General features: G+C 49.2%; 1 protein-coding gene and 1 long non-coding RNA gene across 3 annotated transcripts in view, besides 5 other annotated features; one reads left to right on the plus strand and one right to left on the minus strand.

Moving 5' to 3' along the window:
• Positions 9,898–9,957: a silencer, noted in NCBI's record as "silent region_2459". NCBI's record gives its function as "represses an Ori minimal core promoter by ATAC-STARR-seq in GM12878 lymphoblastoid cells {active_cell/tissue: GM12878}" and the evidence as "EXISTENCE:reporter gene assay evidence [ECO:0000049][PMID:35858748]".
• Positions 12,959–13,253: an enhancer, noted in NCBI's record as "tiled region #4082; K562 Activating DNase matched - State 4:PromP". NCBI's record gives its function as "activates a minimal TATA promoter and a strong SV40 promoter by Sharpr-MPRA in K562 cells {active_cell/tissue: K562}" and the evidence as "EXISTENCE:reporter gene assay evidence [ECO:0000049][PMID:27701403]".
• Positions 12,959–13,357: a biological region, named in NCBI's record as "Sharpr-MPRA regulatory region 4082".
• Positions 13,098–13,357: a silencer, noted in NCBI's record as "silent region_2460". NCBI's record gives its function as "represses an Ori minimal core promoter by ATAC-STARR-seq in GM12878 lymphoblastoid cells {active_cell/tissue: GM12878}" and the evidence as "EXISTENCE:reporter gene assay evidence [ECO:0000049][PMID:35858748]".
• UNC5B (unc-5 netrin receptor B) overlaps positions 13,197–20,229 on the plus strand; it is a 90,295-nt gene continuing 83,262 nt past the window's right edge. For both annotated transcript variants that reach the window (NM_170744.5, NM_001244889.2), the window contains exon 1: positions 13,197–13,691. In NM_170744.5, coding sequence (NP_734465.2) covers positions 13,613–13,691 — 79 coding nt within the window. In that variant the 5' untranslated portion in view covers positions 13,197–13,612. The remainder of the gene's footprint in view (positions 13,692–20,229) is intronic.
• Positions 16,224–16,843: an enhancer, noted in NCBI's record as "NANOG hESC enhancer chr10:72975354-72975973 (GRCh37/hg19 assembly coordinates)". NCBI's record gives its function as "activates a minimal SCP1, AML or CMV promoter by ChIP-STARR-seq in naive and primed H9 embryonic stem cells {active_cell/tissue: H9 hESC(naive and primed)}" and the evidence as "EXISTENCE:reporter gene assay evidence [ECO:0000049][PMID:30033119]".
• UNC5B-AS1 (UNC5B antisense RNA 1) lies at positions 17,851–18,855 on the minus strand. Its single transcript, NR_038453.1, has 2 exons — positions 18,621–18,855; positions 17,851–18,262 (listed from the first exon to the last, which is right to left on the minus strand). It is a non-coding gene; the product is annotated as an UNC5B antisense RNA 1 (long non-coding RNA).

Here is a 20,229-nt window from a genome sequence, read left to right on the forward strand (position 1 = left end):
AAAGAAAACAAACAAACCTGTCAACTTACAATTCTATATGCTGCAAAAGTAGGCTTTAAAAATAACATCAAAATAAAGCATTTTTCAGATAAGTAGAATACGAAAGAATTTATTGCCATTATAGTCACATTAAAAGACATGATAGAGGATGCTCATCAGACTAATGGGAAATTATGGCTGAAGGAAACTCACATCTATAGAAAGGAATGAAAATAGCTAACTATAAAATACTCTTTTTCTTTTTAAATAAATCAAGAGAAATTTGTAAATTCTGTAAATTCGTAATTTTTTTTTTTTTTTTTTTTGAGACAGAGTCTTGCACTGTAGCCCAGGCTGGAGTGCAATGGCACGATCTCACTCACTGCTACCTCTGCCTCCTGGGTCCTGGTTCAAGCAATTCTCCTGCCTCAGCCTCCGGAGTAGCTGGGATTACAGGCACTGTAATGGGATTAGCCACCATGCCCAGCTAATTTTTGTATTTTTAGTAGAGATGGGGTTTCACCATGTTGGCCAGGCAGGTCTTGAACTCGACCTCGTGATCCACCTGCCTCAGCCTCCCAAAATGCTGGGATTACAGGCATGAGCCACTGTGCCTGGCCTTGTAAATTTGTAAATTTTCTAATAAGAGAAAATAAATTCTGCTTTTAGACAAGATGCAGTAACGGGGGCTGCATATACCCTGCCATGTGAAACAGTAACAAAAAATGACAAAATATATGAAATATGCTTTTCAAGACACTGGACATCAAAAAGTGAAGAACAGTGATTCCTGAGATATGGGAACAAATGAGGGAGACCTATGATTGCCCCAGCATACTGTTTTAGAGTTTCCAGGGTACTGGGGCAAGAGGGGGGTTTCAGGTAGAGCCTGGTAGACACCCTGAGTTGAGGAGATAGAGATGAGAGTCCAGGGAGACTGAGGCATCTAGAGTTTGCAAGACAGAGCACCAGAGAGGAGAAGATGGCACAGAGGAGGGACTCAAGAGATCTGCAGAGAGCACCCATAGACTAGCCAGCAGGGTACTGATCGGCAAGGAACCACTTGAGATGATTCAAGGGAACAGTGTCTAAAGCCCACACAGGGCTGGGAACAGTGCCTCCTTCCACCAGCCAGACTGGAAAACCTCACAGTTATGGACATTGGGTAGAGCACTGAGAAGGGTCTTACCCTAGTGACAGGACATAACTAGCTCTCAACTAAACACTGCTGGTCCTGTCTAAAAATATCTCAAAAACAAGACCTGAATAACTTTCCAAGTAACTTAATTGTGTCCCAAAACAAAGTTCAAGAATATTTATAGAAAAACAAAATTTTCAGCACCCTAAAAGGATAATTCATAATGTCTGCTAGACAATCAAAATTTACCATGCTGAAGAGAAGTGGAAAATACGATTCATGGAGTAATCAGTCAATAAAAAATTTACCAATTCTTATATTGTCAACTTAAACAGTTCTTATAAATGTATTCTGTTTGTTAAAAAGTCAGAGACATGAAAGACATTAAAAAGACCCAAATTGAACTTGGAAAGACGAAAATGAAAAGTACACAGTAGCCCCCTCTTATTCACAGTTTTAATGTCCACAGTTTCAGTTACCTGGGGTCCAAAAATATTAAATGAAAAATTCCAGGCCGGGCGTGGTGGCTCACGCCTGTAATCCCAAAGCTTTGGGAGGCCGAGATGGGCGGATCACCTGAGATCAGAAGAGAGACCAGCCTGGCCAACATGGCGAAACCTCATCTCTACTAAAAATACAAAAATTAGCTGGCTGTGGTGTCACACGCCTGTAATCCCAGCTACTCGGGAGGCTGAGGCAGGAGAATTGCTTGAACCCAGGAGGGAGAGGTTGCAGTGAGCTGATATCGCACCACCGCACTCCAGCCTGGGAGACAGAGCAAGAGACTCTGTCTCAAAAAAGAAAAAAGAAAAATTTCCAGAAATAAACAACAAGCAAGTTTTAAATTGCACACACACCTTTCTGAGTAGCGTAATGAAATCTCAGTCATCCATTTGTCCAGCATACCCATCCTATATATGTGACGAACCCATTACTAACTTCATAGCCATCTTGGTTATCAGATCCACTGTACTACATTGCAGTGCATGGGTTCAAGCAGCCCTTCTCTGACTTAATAATGGTCCCAAGACACAGGAGCAGTGATGCTGGCATGTTGTTATCATTGTTCCATCTTATTATTTGTTGTCTTACTGTAACTAATTTATAAATTAAACTTTTTCGTGGATATGTATCTATAGGAAAGTTGTCTCTTGGTATTCTCAGAGGATTGGTTCTAGGACAGCCCCCTCCCCAGCCCCCATGGATACCAAAATCTATGGTTGCTCAAGTCCCTTATATAAAATGGCATAGTATTTGCATATGTAAACTAAAAATAAAATCCTAAGTCCCCTACCAACTGAATGGACTGCCTCTTGCCCAAGGGGACCCTGGAAAAGCCTTAAAAACTGAGTTCCTGGAAATGACAGGACGGGAGGTCAGACACTCCTCATTATACCTCCTCCCTTTTAGAGTTTAGACACAACAACTGACCACCATTGATATTAAAATAGAGACTGTAAGACTGACAGAACAGACTCTTTGTGGCAATAAGATAACAAATTATAAACAGGACCTTAGGCCATGCCAGAAATATGTTAAGTTGCATACCCCCTACACTTAAAGGAGAAGCTGTGTTATAACTGCCACAGGCTTTTCTTTCTCTCTAGCAGCTAAACAAGCACTGGCCTGGAGATAAGCAAGATTAACACAATTTGTAGCTCCATCAGATGCTGAGTAAATGACCCCAGCCCCTGTTCCACCACAACTATAGCTTTGATTGGACTGCTGATTCCAGTAACCTTCTGATTAAGGAGACCACTGACCGTGGACTGGTTCTGGCCCAGTTACAGAGGCTGTGAGTTGAGTGCCTTTGTGTCTCTGCCTGCCTTTTGACTTATAGGGCCTTACTGTAATACATTTAAATATTAAGTCTCCACCCCAAGGTGAACATGGGTTGTATGTTACATGCATGTTCTATATACCTGCATTCAGGACTACCCTCATGAATATTCATAATTTCCCCTGTAACCTGTTGAATATGTATATTTAGCCAACCCTTTCTATACAAAGCTGCTACCCCAACCCCTCCTCCTTCAAAGTGCCAGACTCTGGTCTTTGCCTGAGGCTATGCGTTCCAGCCTGCAGGATGGCCACTTCACAGGCTGTAACCTTTTACAGGAAATAAAGTCACCTTTTCTATATTTACAGATCTCATGATTTTTAAAGTTAACACAAATAATCTATGCACATCCTCCCATATACTTTAAACATCTCTATATTATTTATAATACCTAATACAATGTATATGCTATATAAACCGTTGTTAGACTGTATTTTTAAAATTTGTAGTTTGTTATTGTTATTTTCTATTGCTTTTTTAAAAAAATACTTTTGATCTGCAGATGGTTGAACCCATGGATTAGGAACCCACAGATACAGGGGGCCAACTATATATAGAGGGCTTGATACTATCCAATTTCAGGTGTCCACTGGGGGTCATGGAATACATCTCCAGTAGATAAGGTAGGACTACTGTACATATTATCTGTTTCCATTTATGTGACGTTCTGGAATTAGCAAAACTCACCTATGATGTTAGAAATCAGAATAGTGGCTGCCTCTGCAGGATGACGATTACCTGGGAAGGAGCTCAAGGGAATTTTCTGAGATGATGGAAATGTTCCTATCTTGGTTAGGATTGTGGTTACTAGATGTCTTTACTTGTCAAATTTCATAGAATCTTACACTTTAGACCTGTGTATCTCATTGTATGTAAATCACACCTCATTCAACTTTCTAAAAAGAGAGAGAAGAGGAAACAGAGCAGGAACATGGGTATGCTAGCTCTTTAACTTTCCTGTCCTTGACCTTCTCCACCACTGGGTTCCCCTCATTCCAACAGTCAACACTCCCCAGCCAGCATCAGCCTAGGTCCTGTTTCCTACATGTCCTTGGGTGATAATGTTCTGGGCAACAATCACTGAATTTTTCACAGCTTTCTCAATTTGGAGCAGAAGTTGTCACTTGTTTAAAAATAACTCAACATACAACTTACAAAATTAATTTAAAGAAAACGTAGAATTCTTAAAAAGTTTCGCCATATTAAGAGAGAACTCTTATCTCTACAAACGCATATGGTAGTCCCCCCACTTAACCTGGAGTCTACATTCCTAGACCCTGGTGGATGCCTGAAAGCTTGGATAGTCCCAAACCCTATTATATACTGTTTTTTCCTATACATACACACCTATGAAAAAGTTTAATTTATAAATTAGGCACAGTAAGAGATGAATAATAATGAATAATAAAATACAGCAATTATACCAATTAGCCAGCATTGCTACTCTTGTGTTTTGGGGCCATTATTATGTCAAATAAGAATTACTTGAACACAAGCATTAAGATACCACCACAGTGGATCTGATAATAAAGATGACTACTGAGTTACTAACAGGCAGGTAAGGTAGACAGTGTCCATACACTAGGCAAATGGATGATTCATGTCCTAGGTGGGACAGAGTGGGATGGTGTGAAATTTCATCACTGTACTCAGAAAGTCGCAGTTTAAGACTTTTGAAAGCCAGGTACAGTGGCTCATGCCTGTAATCCCAGCACCGTGGGAGGCTGAGGCAGGAGCATTGCTCGAGTCTAGGAGCTCGAGACCGGTCTCAGGCCTTTGGCCACAGACTGACATGGTGTCACAGAGTGACATGGTGAAACCGTGTCACTACAAAAAAAAAATTAAAATCGCCAGGTGTGGTGGCATATGCCTGTGGTCTCAGCTGCTCAGGAGGCTTAGCTGAGATGGGAGGATCATTTGAGCCCAGAAGGTCGAAGCTGCAGTAAGCCTTGTTCACATAACTGCATTCCAGCCTGGGTGACAGAGACCCTATCTCAAAAACAAAAGACATGAATTGTTTCTGGAATTTTCTATTTAATATTTTTGGACTTCAGCTGACTGTGGGTACGTGAAACCTTGGATAAGGGGGGACTTCTGCACATAGTGACAGCTTTGAGTCCTGCTTACACGATGCCAGCAATGATGAAGAGTCATTAGGAACAGCAGATCTAGAAGCAATTAATAAAAAGCTAACCAGATCCAACTTTTAGTTCAGAAGAAATCGATTTGATAACAAAAGAGTTGAACAAAGAGAAATCTAAATATTCTAAACCAGAGGTTGGCTGCTGAAATTTCAAGAAGGATGGGATATTTGACAAGGGGCACTCCCCATACGGCCATTCATCAAGGAGTCAGAAGACAACAGAAAAGAGTTTTTCACCTACCTCTCCTCCCGCACACACGCATACTCCACTTTGCTATAGGGTTTCTTTCCTCTGCCTCTTCCTTCAGTAAAGATCTTTATAGCCAATGTATCCAGGAGGACAGTCCACAGCACGGGGACCTCCTCTTCCTCCTGGTCTTTCAGAAAGCATCTGTGAATCACCTTCAGCATACTTGCCACTGGAAGATATCTTTGGCATTTATCCTGAAAATAATAGTGAATTATCTTCAGTGCTGACTCAGCTTTCAAAAGAGCCTGCTACTGAAAATCCAGAACTACAACAAGAAACGTGGGAATTTTGTCTCTTCCAAATTTATTTTTAATTATCTCTCATTTTTAGTTTAAGGAAGTGCTATACCTTCAGTGATTACACTTCTGCCTAAATGAAAGCTTCACAGTATTATAATTCTTGAGCTAGTGTTTTGTAAATAAAGCTGATTTACATATTAATCCCATTGAGTGAATTATTTACTTTATCTTGTACTCTCTGGATAGTATAAATATTGTGTTTAATTTGATTAAGGGTCCATGACACATGAACAATACTGGAAGTATCACATGCACAATGCTGAAATTGAATATATTTGAAATGGCAAAAGACATTTTTATATGTCAAAAGGTGTTTCATTGTAGTTTTAGGACAAATGTGAAGTGGCCTGATGTTTTTATTAGACAAATTAACTTGATATTTACCTGAATACATTTAAATTGGAATGTTTAAAACAATTGAGAGTGAGAAAGTTTAATAGGACTATCTCATTATTTTAAGCCCTGTTAGACTATATGTAGCCTCTGCCCTTCCTCATCCCCCTACACAGATAACTCCCCATCCGTAAGTCCAGGCAGAACCTTGAAAAGGTTGGTAACGTGGACTAGTCATAAGAATGTGCGTCTAAAAGCTCAGGGTCAGTACTTACCAGCTGACCTTAGACAAGTCATTTTCCCTTTTGGAGCTGTGGTTTCCTTTGTCATAGGCCATGATTAACACCAGCCTCTAGGAACAATTGAGATGATCAGTGGGAAATCATGTCATTAAGATAAAAGAACTACACACAGGGGATTTAAAGAGGCAGCGTCTTGTGTTTGTTTAACATATAAGCTTAGAAGCCAACAGCCTAGGTTTGATTCTAGCCTCAGTTTCTAGCTAAGCAGGGAAACCAAGTCTGTTTTCCCATTTTTAAAAGGGATGGACAAAGGGATGATTTCATCACTCAGAAAGTCACAGAATTTAAGACTTATGAATTGTTTTGCTTTTGGAATTTTTCATTTAATATTTTTGGACTTCATTCGACTGTGGATAACTGAAACCATGGAAAGGAAAACCGCAGATAAGGGTGGGGAACTTCTGTACATACTAATGGCTTCTAGTCCTGCTTAAAAGATACCAGCAATGAGAACTACTTTTTAATGGGGAAAATCATAACATCTCCTCATGGGTAATCATGGAGAATGAAGGAGCTAACTCAGACGGAGCTCTTGGCAGGGTTTCTAGCTTGCTATAGTTGCCTGTGCGATGGTTAATATTAGGTGCCAACTTGATTGGATTGAGGGATGCCTAGAAGACTGATATAGCATTGTTTCTGGGGGTATCTGTGAGGGTGTTGCCAGAGGAGATTAACATCTGAGACAGTGGACTGGAAAAGAAAGACCCACTCTCGATGTGGGTGAGCACCATCCAATCAGCTGCCAGTGTGGCCAAAACAAAGCAGGAGGAAGGAGGTGGGATAACCTTACTTGCTGGGTCTTCTAGCTCCCTTCTTTTTCCCCTGTGCTGGATGCTTCCCTTGGCTCCTGCTGCCCTCGGACATCAGACTCCAGATTCTTCAACCTTTGGACTGTGGGACTTGCACCAGTGGCTTGCCGGGGGCTCTCACACCTTTGGCCACAGACTGAAGGCTGCATCATCTGCTTCCCTGGTTTTGAGGCTTTCGGACTCGGACTGAGCTGCTACCAGCTTCTCTCTTCCCCAGCTTGCAGACGGCCTATCATGGGACTTCGTCTTGTGAGCATGTGAGCCTATTCTCCCTATATACATACATATATCCTATGGGTTCCGTCCCTCTGGAGAACCCTGACTAATACACCCAGCATACACTAGCTAGCATGCTTATTTCTTAAGATATTGACCACTCCTGTAGCATCAGTCAGTCCTGTGCTCACTGCTATGTGCTGGGAAGTCCACAGGGACCTTTAACTCACCAAGTCCAAACCCAAATCCACCACCCTCTCCCCAGCCCAGCCATCCTCCTCCTTTCACCATGTCTCTCCTTGCAACCTCTGCCACTCGACCCAGCTCCCCTCCCTTCCTCCATCCCTAAGTACCCACCCTCCCTCAGGCACCAAATCTGGGGAACTCTTTCTCCCTCTGCAGAGTCCCTACTTTCTGCCACCTGAATCCCTGGGCCAAGGCCCCATTGTCCCAGGAGCATGCAGTGGCCACCTTGTTGGCTCCTGCTCAGTCTGCCCTGACATCCAGCTGCAAGGAAGCTCCCATGGCACAGCTCCAATGAGGCCTCTCTCCAGCTCAATCAGCACCCATGACTCCTGTTTCTTACAGAATCAAATCTCATCTCTAGCACTGCAGGCCTTGCCCTTGTGTAGAGATTTTTCCCTTCTTGGCCTTCTGGTGTGCTGTTTGAGGGGCAGTATGAGGATGTGGCCACCTCCTGACCATACCATCACATACATAACTCTAGGCCTTTGCTCACGTGGTTTGCTCTGCCTGGACTCCCTCCTGAGTTCTCCATGTTTAAGGTTTCCTTCTCACTCCTAGGTCTAGCTTCCAGCATCCCCCACTCAGATAAGCCCCCCAATCCCCACCCCCGGCAATGCCAGGGCATGCTAGCTACAGCCTGCTGCATGTGCCAGCTCTGGCTCAGCCTGCCTTTTCTCTGCCCCATAAAGCATAAGCAGGACTGGATACATAATCTCCAGGGCCCAGTATAAAGTGGAAATCAGAGCCCTTTTTTCCAAATTATTAAGAATTATGAAATGGATAAATCCTAGTTGAGGGACATTCTACAAAATACCCAATGAATAATTCTCAAAAGTGTCAAGGTCATCAAAAACAAGGAAAGACTGAGAAACTGTCACAGCCAAGGGGAGCCTGAGGAGTCACAATGACTGTATGCAATGTGGGATCCTGAATGGGATCCTGGAACAGAAAACAGAAGGACATTAGGTAAAAACTAAGGAGATCTGAATGAACTTTAGCACATAATAATGTATCAGTGGTTCATTAATTGTAGTAAAGGTACCATGCTAATGTAAGAGGTTAATAATTAAGGAGACTGGGTGAGGGGCATATGGGAACTTTCTGTACTATATTTGCAATTTTTCTGTAAAACTAAAACTCTTCTAAAATGAAAAGATGGCCTTTTAAACATTTACAACAATAAAAGAATTTTGAGAAGGTGACAGCAGAGGCGATAAATAAGTTATAATGTCCAAGACAGAATTGAGATTTGAACCCGGATCTGCCTGAGCCCAAGGCTTTTGTGACCAACGGCTTGCATTGCCTGAACAGCAGTGAGAAGACCCTGGAGGGGTTGGTGGAAAAGACTGGGTAAGAAGGATGGAAGGAAGAAGGTTGTCACAGTACTTAGTAGAGGTTAAGAGTCCAAGTTTAATGACCCAGGCCACATATAGTATGATTCCATTTATATGAAATGTCCAGAATAGGATAGAAAGTAGATTAGTGGGTGCCAGGGGCTGGGGGAGGGGAGAATGGGGTTAATGGTATGGGGTTTCTTTTGGAGGTGATAAAAATGTTCTCCAATTAGGTAGTGGTGATGGCTGCACAACATTGGGAATATACTAAAAACCACTGGATTGTGCACTTTAAAATGTTTAAAGCGGTACTTTTTTTTTTTTTTTTTTTTTTTTGAGACAGAGTATCACTCTGTCGCCCAGGCTGGAGTGCAGTGGCACGATCTCGGCTCACAGAAAACCTCTGCCTTCTGGGTTCAAGCGATTCTCGTGCCTCGGCCTCCCGAGTAGTTGGGATTAACAGAGCACGATACCATGTCTAGCTAATTTTTGTATTGCTAGTAGGGATGGGGTTTCGCCATGTTGGCCAGGCTGGTCTTGAACTCCTGACCTCAAGTGATCCGCCCGCCTCCGCCTCCCAAAGTGCTGGCATTACAGGCGGGAGCCACTGTGCCCGGCCGAAGAGATTTAGAATAGTACCTGGCATATAGTAAGCACTCAACCTTAGCTCTGATAATATTATTACAAAGAGATGGTAAAGCGTTAAGGACTTCAGCTTTAGGCGCTTCCCTTCTCCAGGGTCCAGGTTTTTGGGGTCCGTTCTGGACCGAACGACTCAGGGGAGGCACCGTGAACTCATTCCCAAGCCTTCCCACTCAAGATCCTGCAAACGGAGTCGTCTGAGTGCCACTTCCCCTGACAACCCGGGACAAGGACTCTGTCAGGGCGGCCCCAGGCGGGGTGGGGCCAGGACAATTCTCCCATCGCCGGAGGAGGGAGACTGGCGGCCACGGGGAGGCGTAAGCGGCAGCGCGCCGCCTGGTGGCACCTTCGCGCACACGGTCCCGACGGAGCGGGAGGCGTCAACCCCAAGCCGGCAGCCACTCCTGCCGGGAGCCCCTACAGCTGCTTTTAAATCGTAATTGTTATCAAATAGGCGGTTTTTATACAGCCAGATTATTGGCCTTATTATTCTTCTTAATACTGTGAAGTAATTATTATTCCTGTTTTACAGTTGAGGAAACTGACGCTGGGAAAGTTTCAGTAACTGGCTTAAGATCCGCCAGCAGGTAAGAGCAGCCCCCAGGTTTAGGGCCACAGCCCTCCAGATCCAGAACTCTTTCCTACACACTCCTGTGGTTTGAGACAAGTGATGGTAGCCGCTGGAAGCATCTGCAGTCCCCACCAAGGGTGAGAACTGGCTCTGGGACTGATTTCAAAGCAGATCTATGCCACAAAGCCTGCCCTACTTTCAGCCTCAGAACCCCCAGACCCCAGGAAATAGAGGGGAGGGGAGGGTGGGGCTCACATAGCAACTCTTAGGCCCTTTGACCATCAACCCCTTTCCCCCCAGCCTTATTGATGTACCCACTCAACCAAGGTTGATTGCATCCCTGCTATGCCAGAAACTGTCTTCAGTGCTAGATATATCATGGGGAACAGGGAACACAGGGCACCTGACTTCAAGCAACTCACTGCTTCGTCCTCATGCTTAACTCCCAGCAGGATGCCTTTGCTGTGAGGCCCATGGCACTCGGTTTGGGAACACCCTGGCAAATCTTAATCCTGCTATCCTAATGTGTCATCCCCCAGGCAGGGACCCTGCCCATTCTTCACCCATCCCGGGGAAAGGTATGGCTCAGGGGGAGTCTGACTCCCTCTGAAGCCCCTTGCCTGGCCTCAACTGACAGCCTGCACTCTTGAGATGCCAGGGCTGGAGAGGAACCACATCTGCAACTGCTCAGCTGCAGGTGGCTAGAGAAGGCTCAGAGACTTGGTACAGGAGCAGGGGCACAGAGCAGTTACAGAGAGATTCCCAACATGCAAAATCCCATGCCCTGATGCTGGAGTCCTGGAGGGAGAGCAGGGCCCGGGACCTCCCAAGAGTATATTTCAAGAGTTGAGAGAGTGGTTAGGCTGAGAAGGGAAGTGGGGCAGGGACTGGCAGGAGAGGGGGTAATGTCTTCCTTTTGCTTGCCCCCATCTCCAGTCCCCCTTCTCTCCACCCAGGAATTAAAGCCGTGAAACCTGATACTTGGACTAGAAGGGCCTGCTGGGTACACTTTACCACCTAAACAGCAAAGTTCCAAGGGGTGGAACTTTTTAGAAAAATCTCCAATACCCCACTGGCCTGAAGGAGAGAGAGAAAGAGGTTGGGGAGAGAGAGAGAACATGCTGTGGTCTCTGCATGCTGCCCGTCTCTGCTGAGGTCCCTGCTGAGCTCTCCAGCACAGGCACAACCTTGACCATGTGCCTGCATCCAGGGGATGACCGTCAGATGTGGGTCTTGGCACAGGCGTGCCTGTATGTGTTTCCTGGCAGTAGTTAAGTATCCAAATATCTATTTGTCTTGGGAGTCATCTGCCTATTTGTGTTTTTAGTTGTGTGCGCCTGTGTGTTTGCTTTTTTTAGGCATACATCTTTGGTATGTGGGTGTCTCTGGAGTCGGGTGCCTATTTGTAGGTGTGATGTTTATGGGAGGTGAAACATTGCACCTGTTGTCTTTGTTGTATGTTTTCGTGTGTGTACCTTTGCAGGTGTGTATGGGTGGGTAGTTGTGTGTGTGCATGTGTATTTGCAAGGTGGAGTTGGTTTGGGTGTGCTGAGCTGTTGACTGTCTCATCCACTGCCCTTGCTAGGGCTGTCAGAGGCCAAGCTAAGCAACCTACCTTTGCCCACAGCAGCCTTTCTCAATTGATGGAAGTTCTTCCCCCAGGGAGTCCCAGTCCACCTGTTGCCACCCTCCTGATGCTGGGTGCCCAGTCAGAGAGGGTTAGGGAGATGTGCTGATGGCATGCACGACCTCCCCTAGATACTCCAAGACCCCGGCTTGTGAGGGGAGTGTGTGTGGAGAGGGTACTAGTCCTGCCTTCACCTCACCTCTGGGGAAACAGCTAGGACAGTCCCCTTCGCACAGCCCAATCCAGCCCCAGGGAAGGTGTTCAAGTGAGGCTCCCCCGTTTAGAGGGTTTCTTTCCAATCCCATCTCCCCCATCCCCTTTGCTCAGTCACTCAGTCACTCCAAGCAGTGTGATCTCCGGCAGGTGGCTTTACACCTCTGTGCCTCAGGTCCTTCATCTGTAAAATGGGATGTAAATGGTGCTTACTTCAGAGGGTTGTGAGAATTAACTGACATGATGCATACAGAGTGCTTAGCCCTGTGCCTGGCACAGGGAAGGTCTTTGCCTATGTTAGCTGATCCGCTCGTTCTGATCTCTCTGGGTTTCAATCCCAAGACACTGCCCATCCTTCAAACCTCACCTGTCCCCACGTGCTCCTTGGACCACCTTTGGGTGGTCAGGACTTTCCCCCTGGAATCAGACTGGCTGGGAGGGGAGAATCTTGGAAAGAGATTATTGACACTTGCACTGCAATTTCCACACAAGTTTTAAAATTTAATTCTATACCCCCTTATGAAATAGTTATCCTTTTCCTCCATTTTACAGATGATGATGAAGGGAGCAATAGAATTGTTAAGTAACTTGTTCAAGGTCACACAGTAAATAAGGGGCAGAGTCCAAGTTTACACTGAGCCAAAAATGGCTGTCCCACTGTCAGGTAGGAGGCTAGTTTACAACAACGCAGGATCAGAGTGCTGGAGGGGTTTCCAGGGGTCTGGTTAACAGTTCTGCCGGAGATCATACAGACAAGCAGAGCCAGCCAGGATGATCCTAATCTATACCCAGCTTCATATCGCTGTAAGCCCCCGCGTAACCAGGACTTGGGTGTTCTCATTTTGGGAGCCTTTTTTTTGGAAAGACCCCCACATGTGGAAGGCAGAGCGCATACTACAGACAGGGGAGCCAAAAGTGAGAGTCCTATGTTTAATCAGAGGAGAAAGCTGACATGGCCAAGCCAAATGAAGGCGCAAAGCCAGATTTCCTTAATTTGGGGGAGCGAAAATTGGGCCGCCTCCACGTCCAGCCATTCTCCAGCGGCCGGGTTTTTCAAAACGCTGCGCCCAGCGTCTCGCGAGGACCCTCCCCCCGGGTCCCCCAGCTCTGCCGCGGCCGCGCCCAGATGGCCGTCGGATCCCCCCTCAAGGTCCCCCTGTCGGCTCCGCCCTCGGTCGCCCAGGCCCCGCCCCGGCCGCGCGCGGTCCCCTCGGTTGGCGAACTCACTCCGGCGAGCGAGCGGCGGCGCTCGGCATTGTGGCAGGCGGCTGGGGCCGGCTAGGGCGCCGGAGCCGCACGCAGCCGCGGGGCTCCGAGAGGCGCGCACTGGGGCTGGGACTGCGCGGCGCCGCCGCTGCGAGCGCCACTGAGCGGTCGCGCAACTTCGGAGGCACAGCGCCGGAGCCAGGCGAGCGCTCAGAGACCCGGAGCCAGAGGGGCGCGCCGGAGCCTCGTTCGAGAGCCGGCGCCAGGCACCCACCGCGCTCCGAGTGCCAGGCGGCCCTCCGCGCAGCGTGGCTTCCGCTGCCCCCACGGAAGGCACGGGCTGGCGCTGCCGGGCGCCGGGGAGGACGGCGAGGAGGAGGCGGCGGCGGCGGAGACGGCGGCGGCGAGACTGGGGCCAGGGAGACAGCCCTGGGGGAGAGGCGCCCGAACCAGGCCGCGGGAGCATGGGGGCCCGGAGCGGAGCTCGGGGCGCGCTGCTGCTGGCACTGCTGCTCTGCTGGGACCCGAGGCTGAGCCAAGCAGGTAGGAAGCGATCGGGTCTGGGGGCGCGGGGCTAGGGGACCCTTGCGCCTCACTCTGTCCTGAAGTTGAGGTGGTCTTTCGTCGCATCGATGCGCGCAGGAAAAGCGGCAAGGGCGCCCAAGTTAGAATGTAGATTTTACTGCCTCCCAAAGTGGGCAATGGCGCATCCACATCGCGGGAGCGGGGAGCAGGGAAGGGGCTTCACAGTAAGCTGAAAGGTCCCTGCTCGCTCCTGAAAGGGATCCCTTCTTCTCCCTGGAAGGGGTGTAGGAGTCAGGGTCTGAGTCTCCGGGAGGATCCGCCTCCTGGGGACGCCCGGCTCTCCGCGCGCCTGGCATCCGCCCCGAAAAAGAACATTGGCTACATAAGCAAGGTGTGCGCTCGCTGCCGTACGCCGGTAACTTACTAGTCTGGTCCCGGCTCGCCTAGGCTCTTACGCGCTATAGGGACAGCAATCTGCAGACTAGAGGGAGAGAGCGAAAAGACCTGCTGAACACAGGAAGCGCTTCGGTAGCCTCGGCAGGCCGGCTTGCAGGGCTCCTGAAGCGGGGAGGGCTAAGTCTTGCACACATAGCTTTCCCCGAGATCGCTGGGCCCGCAGGTCTGGAAGAATTATTATTATTATTATTATTATTATTATTATTAATTTTCTGAGTGTTGGAGAGTGTGTGTGTGTGTGTGTGTGTGTGTGTGTGTGTTGGATGCGGGTAGGGGTTCTTAGCGATCCTGCGGAGTTTCCTTTTAAATTGGTCACTGACATTCTCGCTGTCCGGGGAACAGACTAGGTGCGCTCTCCTTGGTACAGCGCCCGCTCTGGACCCACCAAGATGACTTCAGCGAACTGGTGGGCTCCGAAATAAAGTCCCTAACCCTCCTCTCTCGCCGTGGATGAATACGTTTCTCGCTCGTCCTGTAGCTGGACCCGGCGTCGCTGGCTGGGCTGCGTCTTCTCGGGGAGGCTGTGGACTGAATGGAGCCAGCCTCTCTCTGGTACCCGAACCCAAGCAAGTGGGCTGGCCACGGCTGCCGGGCGGCTCGGCTCCGGAGCCAGGTGGGGACGGGGCCTCCTGCACGGAGTCCTCTCTGAGTTGAGGCTGAGAATGGAGCAGGAAAACTGGAGCAGAAAGTGGACGAGATGACGCAGCCCTCCCCACCTCCTACCTCCTGCTGCGAAGTTGACATCCGCCCTTCCCCCCTCCATAGCCAAAGATTCCTCATTCTGGAATTAGTGATTCCCACGGCCAGGAGTGAGGGCTTGGCTTTAGCACATTCCCCACTTTTTTTTTTTTTTCTGGTGCAAGTCCTGTGCAGTAGAGTTACAACACTCAACCATTTGATCCAAGTTAATTATGATTTGGGCAGACTCTGGTATTTAAAGCAGTGTTTTGAAGTTGGAAGGTAATGATGGGGATGGGGAAGGCAGGCTGCTGAATGTCCAACCTTGTTTTAAAGGGTGCAGTTAGACGTGGGAGGTGCTTGGTTGGGGTGCTGGTTTCTGGTTGGAGGGGGTTTGAGGAGATGATTGAAGGGTAGGGTGAAGTCTCTGTAAATGGCACATGGGCAGGGTTGTGTCTTGGGAAGCTGCTTTTGTACCAGCAGGACAGTGGGATCAGGAATAAATACTTAGGTTACCAGGAATGAGGGGCTGCTGTAGGAGAAAGACAAGACTGGTTGGCCTATAGTTCTCTGGGTGGGTGGGCTTGGCCAAGAAGGCTGGGGGTGGCCTGCATTTCCTGCTTAACAAAGCATCCAGCCCCCACCTTCCCCAGAAGAAACCCCAGGCCCAGGGCTTTGATGGATTTGGGCACGAATGGTGCCCAGTCAGAAATGGCCTCTAATACCCGGCTTTGATTTCTCACCAGCGAGCAGAAGCGGTGTTGGAATTGTGCTCATTACTTAGTGCGGCAGTAGCTGCCTGCCCACCAGCCTGGAGAGGGGCCAACTGGTGGGGTCGGCCTGCAGCCTTCTCATTGCCCAGAATGTGTGGCCCTTAGAAACCTGCCTTCAGGAGGGAGAACATGTCCCTTCCTCCCACACAATCTTGTTTTTCTCTAATGCCACAGGCACAGAGCATCATTCTTTCAGAATGTTCTTTGGGTTTTTCCATTGGATCCTTCACAAGCTCCATTTCACTGATGGGGAAAATCAAGGCCAGAGTGTTGGCTTTCTCCAAATCTTGCCTTCACTTGGCCACAGATTGAAGACATGTGAAGGGCTCCTGTCCAATAGCCAGACTGATTCAAGCCCAGCAGACCCTCCCTCCTATTCTTATCCACCCACCCCTCTGCCATGAGACTCATAACAGACTGAGGCAGGCGAGGCTCTCTCTGCAAAGAGGGATCTTTACTGGGGGTGTCCAAGCTCCCCTCAAGTGGCAGGCACCTCTCTCTCCTTTTCCCCACCCCACCCCATCCCTGGTGAATATGGGAATGAGCTCCCTTTACAGCACTGAGAATATTTTTAAGCTGTAAAGTCTGATGCTGGAGAAATCAAAACTGGAACCATAAAACCCCAGACCCTTAGAAGGTAATGTCAGCAAGTGACTAGCCAGAAAAGGCCACTTCAAAAGCTCTGGTTGGCCCTGGAAATCTCCTCCCACCCCACCTTTCAGCCCTTCCTGGAGCTTTTAATGAGCCTTTCCATGGCCTCTGGCTGGGATGGTTGAGAAGGAGTCGAGGTGTCAAGATAATACTTCTTTTTAAGGTGCAATTAAAATCAGAGTTTTTGTAGTGTCTCTGCTTGGTGTGTGTGTGTGTGTGTGTGTGTGTGTGTGTGTGTGCTCGCGTGCATGCGCCTGTGCACACACAATGATAGCCTGTCCTTGTCTCCCTCTGCACTCACTGTAGCAAACACCCATCTCACTTAAACAAATGGAAAATCAAGTGTCTTAATGGGTTTTCTCATTAAAGTGAAAGTACCACTGCAGGGGAGGAATTTCTCCTGTAATCTCTCTCCTCCACCTCTCTCCCCTCCCCCACAAACAGGGAATTCTGTAGGATAAAACAGTTCCCCTCTTTTCCAATCCATTTATTTAACTGTTGACACTTTGGGACAGGCCAACTTGCCCAAGGTCACACTGGGACTCACCGGTAGCGCCAGGACTTGAACTGAGGCCTCACAACCTCAATCTAGTGCTTCTAGCTCCTTCATTCCATCTGGGCTGGAGACCCACCATCATGGGTGTGGGCTTGAGACTCTGAAATTGAGGCACCACTTAAGGCAGGCAGCTAAAGATAAGATCGCTTTGATGGCTGCTTTAGACTGGAACTCATGGCAGGATGGAGGAAAGAGGTTGAGAGTTGGAAGGGTGAAGAGGTGTTCCAGGAGAGGGGGAACAGGGCAGAGCCAAAGGTCAGGAGTGAAGCTCTGAGACCAGGCAAGTGCCCAAAGGTGGCTCCCCCAACCCCCAGCATTGGCCTCCTGAGCAACTGCCCTGACCTGGGGAAGGGAGACAGGTCACAAGCCAAGCTCCCTTGGGCTGCATGGCCAAATAAACATTAGCATTTTATAGCTCTGCACCCATTTGTAGAGTTGGGGACAGAATATGTTTTTACTTTTTACTTATATTCAAAGCTTTAGGAGCCAGTGCCCTCCCCCACCTTTGTTGTTGAGTTTCTCCTGGACCGCAGGTCTAGTGACCCTTTTCCTGGGTGTCAGGCTTAAGACGAGGTCTGCCTCCTACGCCCCATTCCCTGAGCCACAGAGGTTTTCTAAGGAGGTTTGTGGGCTGCCTAAGACTTTGGGGATGGGCTGGGGGGAGATGGATCATTTCCATTCCAAGTGCTCTCGGACCAGGTTAGTGATTCTGAATAGACAGTGCTGGTACCTCCCTCCCCCAGGGCCTGCAGGCAGCCCGTCTTTTGACCCTCAGAGTTGGGGTTGGGTGGAAAGGAGACAGTTTGGAGGCCACTGCCGCCTTCAGGAAAGGGCAGAGGGGGCTGGGTCATAGGCTGGGACTTGGGGGTGGGAGCCTGGGCCCAGGGAAACTGCTGCCTGGGCAGATGGCCCCCAGAGGGTAGGGAGGAGAAAGCCGGCGCTCAGGCCAGAGCTGGCGCTTCTCTTGGCGTCCTCCTCCTTCTCCTCCTCACCAGTTTCCTAAACAGCTTCCACAAATAGAGTCATTAAAGCTGTGAAGGCAAAATGAAACCAAACAAGTGCGTTCTGTGCTTTTCTGTTTCTTATTTTTTTAAGGAAATTAAAAATACCGTAATTAGAATAATACAAGGAGAGAACACTTTGCGGAAGGCCTAGGGTAAGGGCACTTCCCACCCACTGGGTTGGCTCAAGAGGTTGGGACTGGGGCGCCACCTCCCGCCCCCTTAGGGTCTGCGATCCGCCGGGGGCGCCGCGGGCTTTTCCGCCGGCTCCATGCATTTCCCTGAGGCAGGATCTTTTTGGGGGAAGCTGGCATCCCGGCGCTGGCCTCGGCCCCCGACTGGGAGTTGGGTGGCGCTTGATTGGAACTCCGGCCCGGAGCCGCCTCAGCCGCTGCGCCCCCGCGGGCAGACAAGCCCGGGCGGAGCGCGCTAAGCCACAGGTCCCCGCGGCGTTCCTCCCGGTCTTCGGGGATGCTAATGGCAGCGAAAATATTTGCTGAAGTGCAGGCATAAATCAGCCGCCTCCCCGCTCCCCCACCCCCACCCCTTTTGTTTCCTCTTCCTTCTCTCCAAAAGCGCTGGGCTGCTGGGCGCCAGAATTTACCTTTTCCATCTTAGCGGCCTGATTAGCATCGCCGCCGCTTGTGGGGCTGGATTCTACCCTCTCCTGCGTCCCCCACCCCCAGTCCCCATCTCCACCTCCCTCCCCAGCCGAGCTAAATCGGTCTGCGGAGCCCCGGGAGCTCTAACGCCACCGCCTAGCGAGTGAGTGCACGGAGCCGCCCTCCTTCTCACCTCCCAGAACAGGCTGCCCCCAGTGCTTGCAACTTACCCCTTCGCGGCGCTGCACGGCTCGGCTCACTTCTCCAAGAAGGCAGGCTTGTGGGTGTGAGAGTATGTATTAAGGAGTGTGTGGGGGGTGAGAATGTGTATTAAGCAGGTGGGCGGAGGTGGGAGTTTGCAGGGAGGGGAGGGTGGGTGTGGTGTTGCACTGGGGTGTCAGGTGTGTGTGGGGGCGAGGCATGGACTGGGTGTGTGCCGGAGGATGGATGTGTGTTTGAGGAGGGTTGTGCCTTTTGTAACTCAGGAGGTGTGATGTATAGGCTGTGTCTGTGTTTGGGTGTGTGTGGGGTGGGCAATGTCACATGGGCACACTTGTGGTGTGTTTGTGTATAAATAGGTATGTGTAATGTGGAGACAGTGAGTCACCACCAGGCATGGGAAGCTCCATCCATTGTATTCCGTTGGGGATTCCACTTCAGGATGGGACCCAGGCCATTTGCCCATCAGCACTTAAGAGACCTCATTTTGCCCCACACCTGCACTGTGAGCAGGGTTTGGCCTGAGTGCCAGGTTCTGCTGTTGGAAGGGCAGAGGACAGCTTCCCCTGCTGAGTGCAGATGGGATAGGCCTGCCTGCAGGTGGGTCCTGGTGCTCCAGGGGGAGGAAGGTTGGCAGAGATGGACCCTAAGCCAGCCCAGCAGCTTGGGCTACTGCCCCCAGGAAGATCAGAGTCCCAGACCTGGAGTCTTCTGCAGTCAACTCCCAGCTTCCCCAGAGCATGGGAGCGGCTGTGGTTTGGAGATCTGCTCTCTGACCTGGGTCAGCTTATGCTTCAGCCTGTCTCCCCCAAAGGGAGTGAGTTCTCCTCTAGAGTTTGCTGGAGAAGGGGCCAGCAGAGCTTGAGTGGGTGGGATCCCCAGTGGAGAACCCCATCTCAGGCTGACGTGGCTGGGGCCTGGGACTCTCAGCGGTAGCAATTTAAAGAGGACAGACACACCCACACACATGCTGGACTCCACTGTCGTTACAACTTTCTTGGTCACAGAAGCGCTTACCTGCTTTCCCAGGGCTGTCCACAGGAAGGACTTCCATCACTTCAACTCTAGGATAAGATGGACTGTTCTGGAGCAGGGAGGCCTATAGGAAAATCACAGTCCCTCGCCCCACCCTGGTGTGCATGTTGCTTTACAGTTTACAAAACCCTTTTATATGTGCAGTCTCACTTTGTCCTTGTAAGAACTCACCGAGAAGGTGGAAGCTCTCACTTAGAAGGCTGAAGAGACAGGACTGGGACCCAGGTTTGTATTAGTCAGGGTTCTCTAGAGGGAAAGAACTAATATATATATAAAGGAGAGTTTAGTAAGTATTAACTCACACGATCACAAGGTCCCACAATAGGCCTTCTGCTGGCTGAGGAGCAAGGAGAGCCAGTCCGAGTTCCAAAACCGAAGAACTTCTAGTCTGATGTTCGAGGGCAGAAAGCATCCAGCACGGGAGAAAGATGTAGGCTGGGAGGCTAGGCCAGTCTCTCTTTTCACGTTTTTCTGTCTGCTTATATTCTAGCCCTGCTGGCAGCTGATTAGATTGTGCCCACCCAGATTAAGGGTGGGCCTGCCTTTCCCAGCCCACTGACTCAAATGTTAATCTCCTTTGGCAAC

The sequence above is a fragment of the Homo sapiens genome, chromosome 10 (genome assembly GCF_000001405.40).
Source record: "Homo sapiens chromosome 10, GRCh38.p14 Primary Assembly".
NCBI classification, from domain to species: domain Eukaryota; kingdom Metazoa; phylum Chordata; class Mammalia; order Primates; family Hominidae; genus Homo; species Homo sapiens.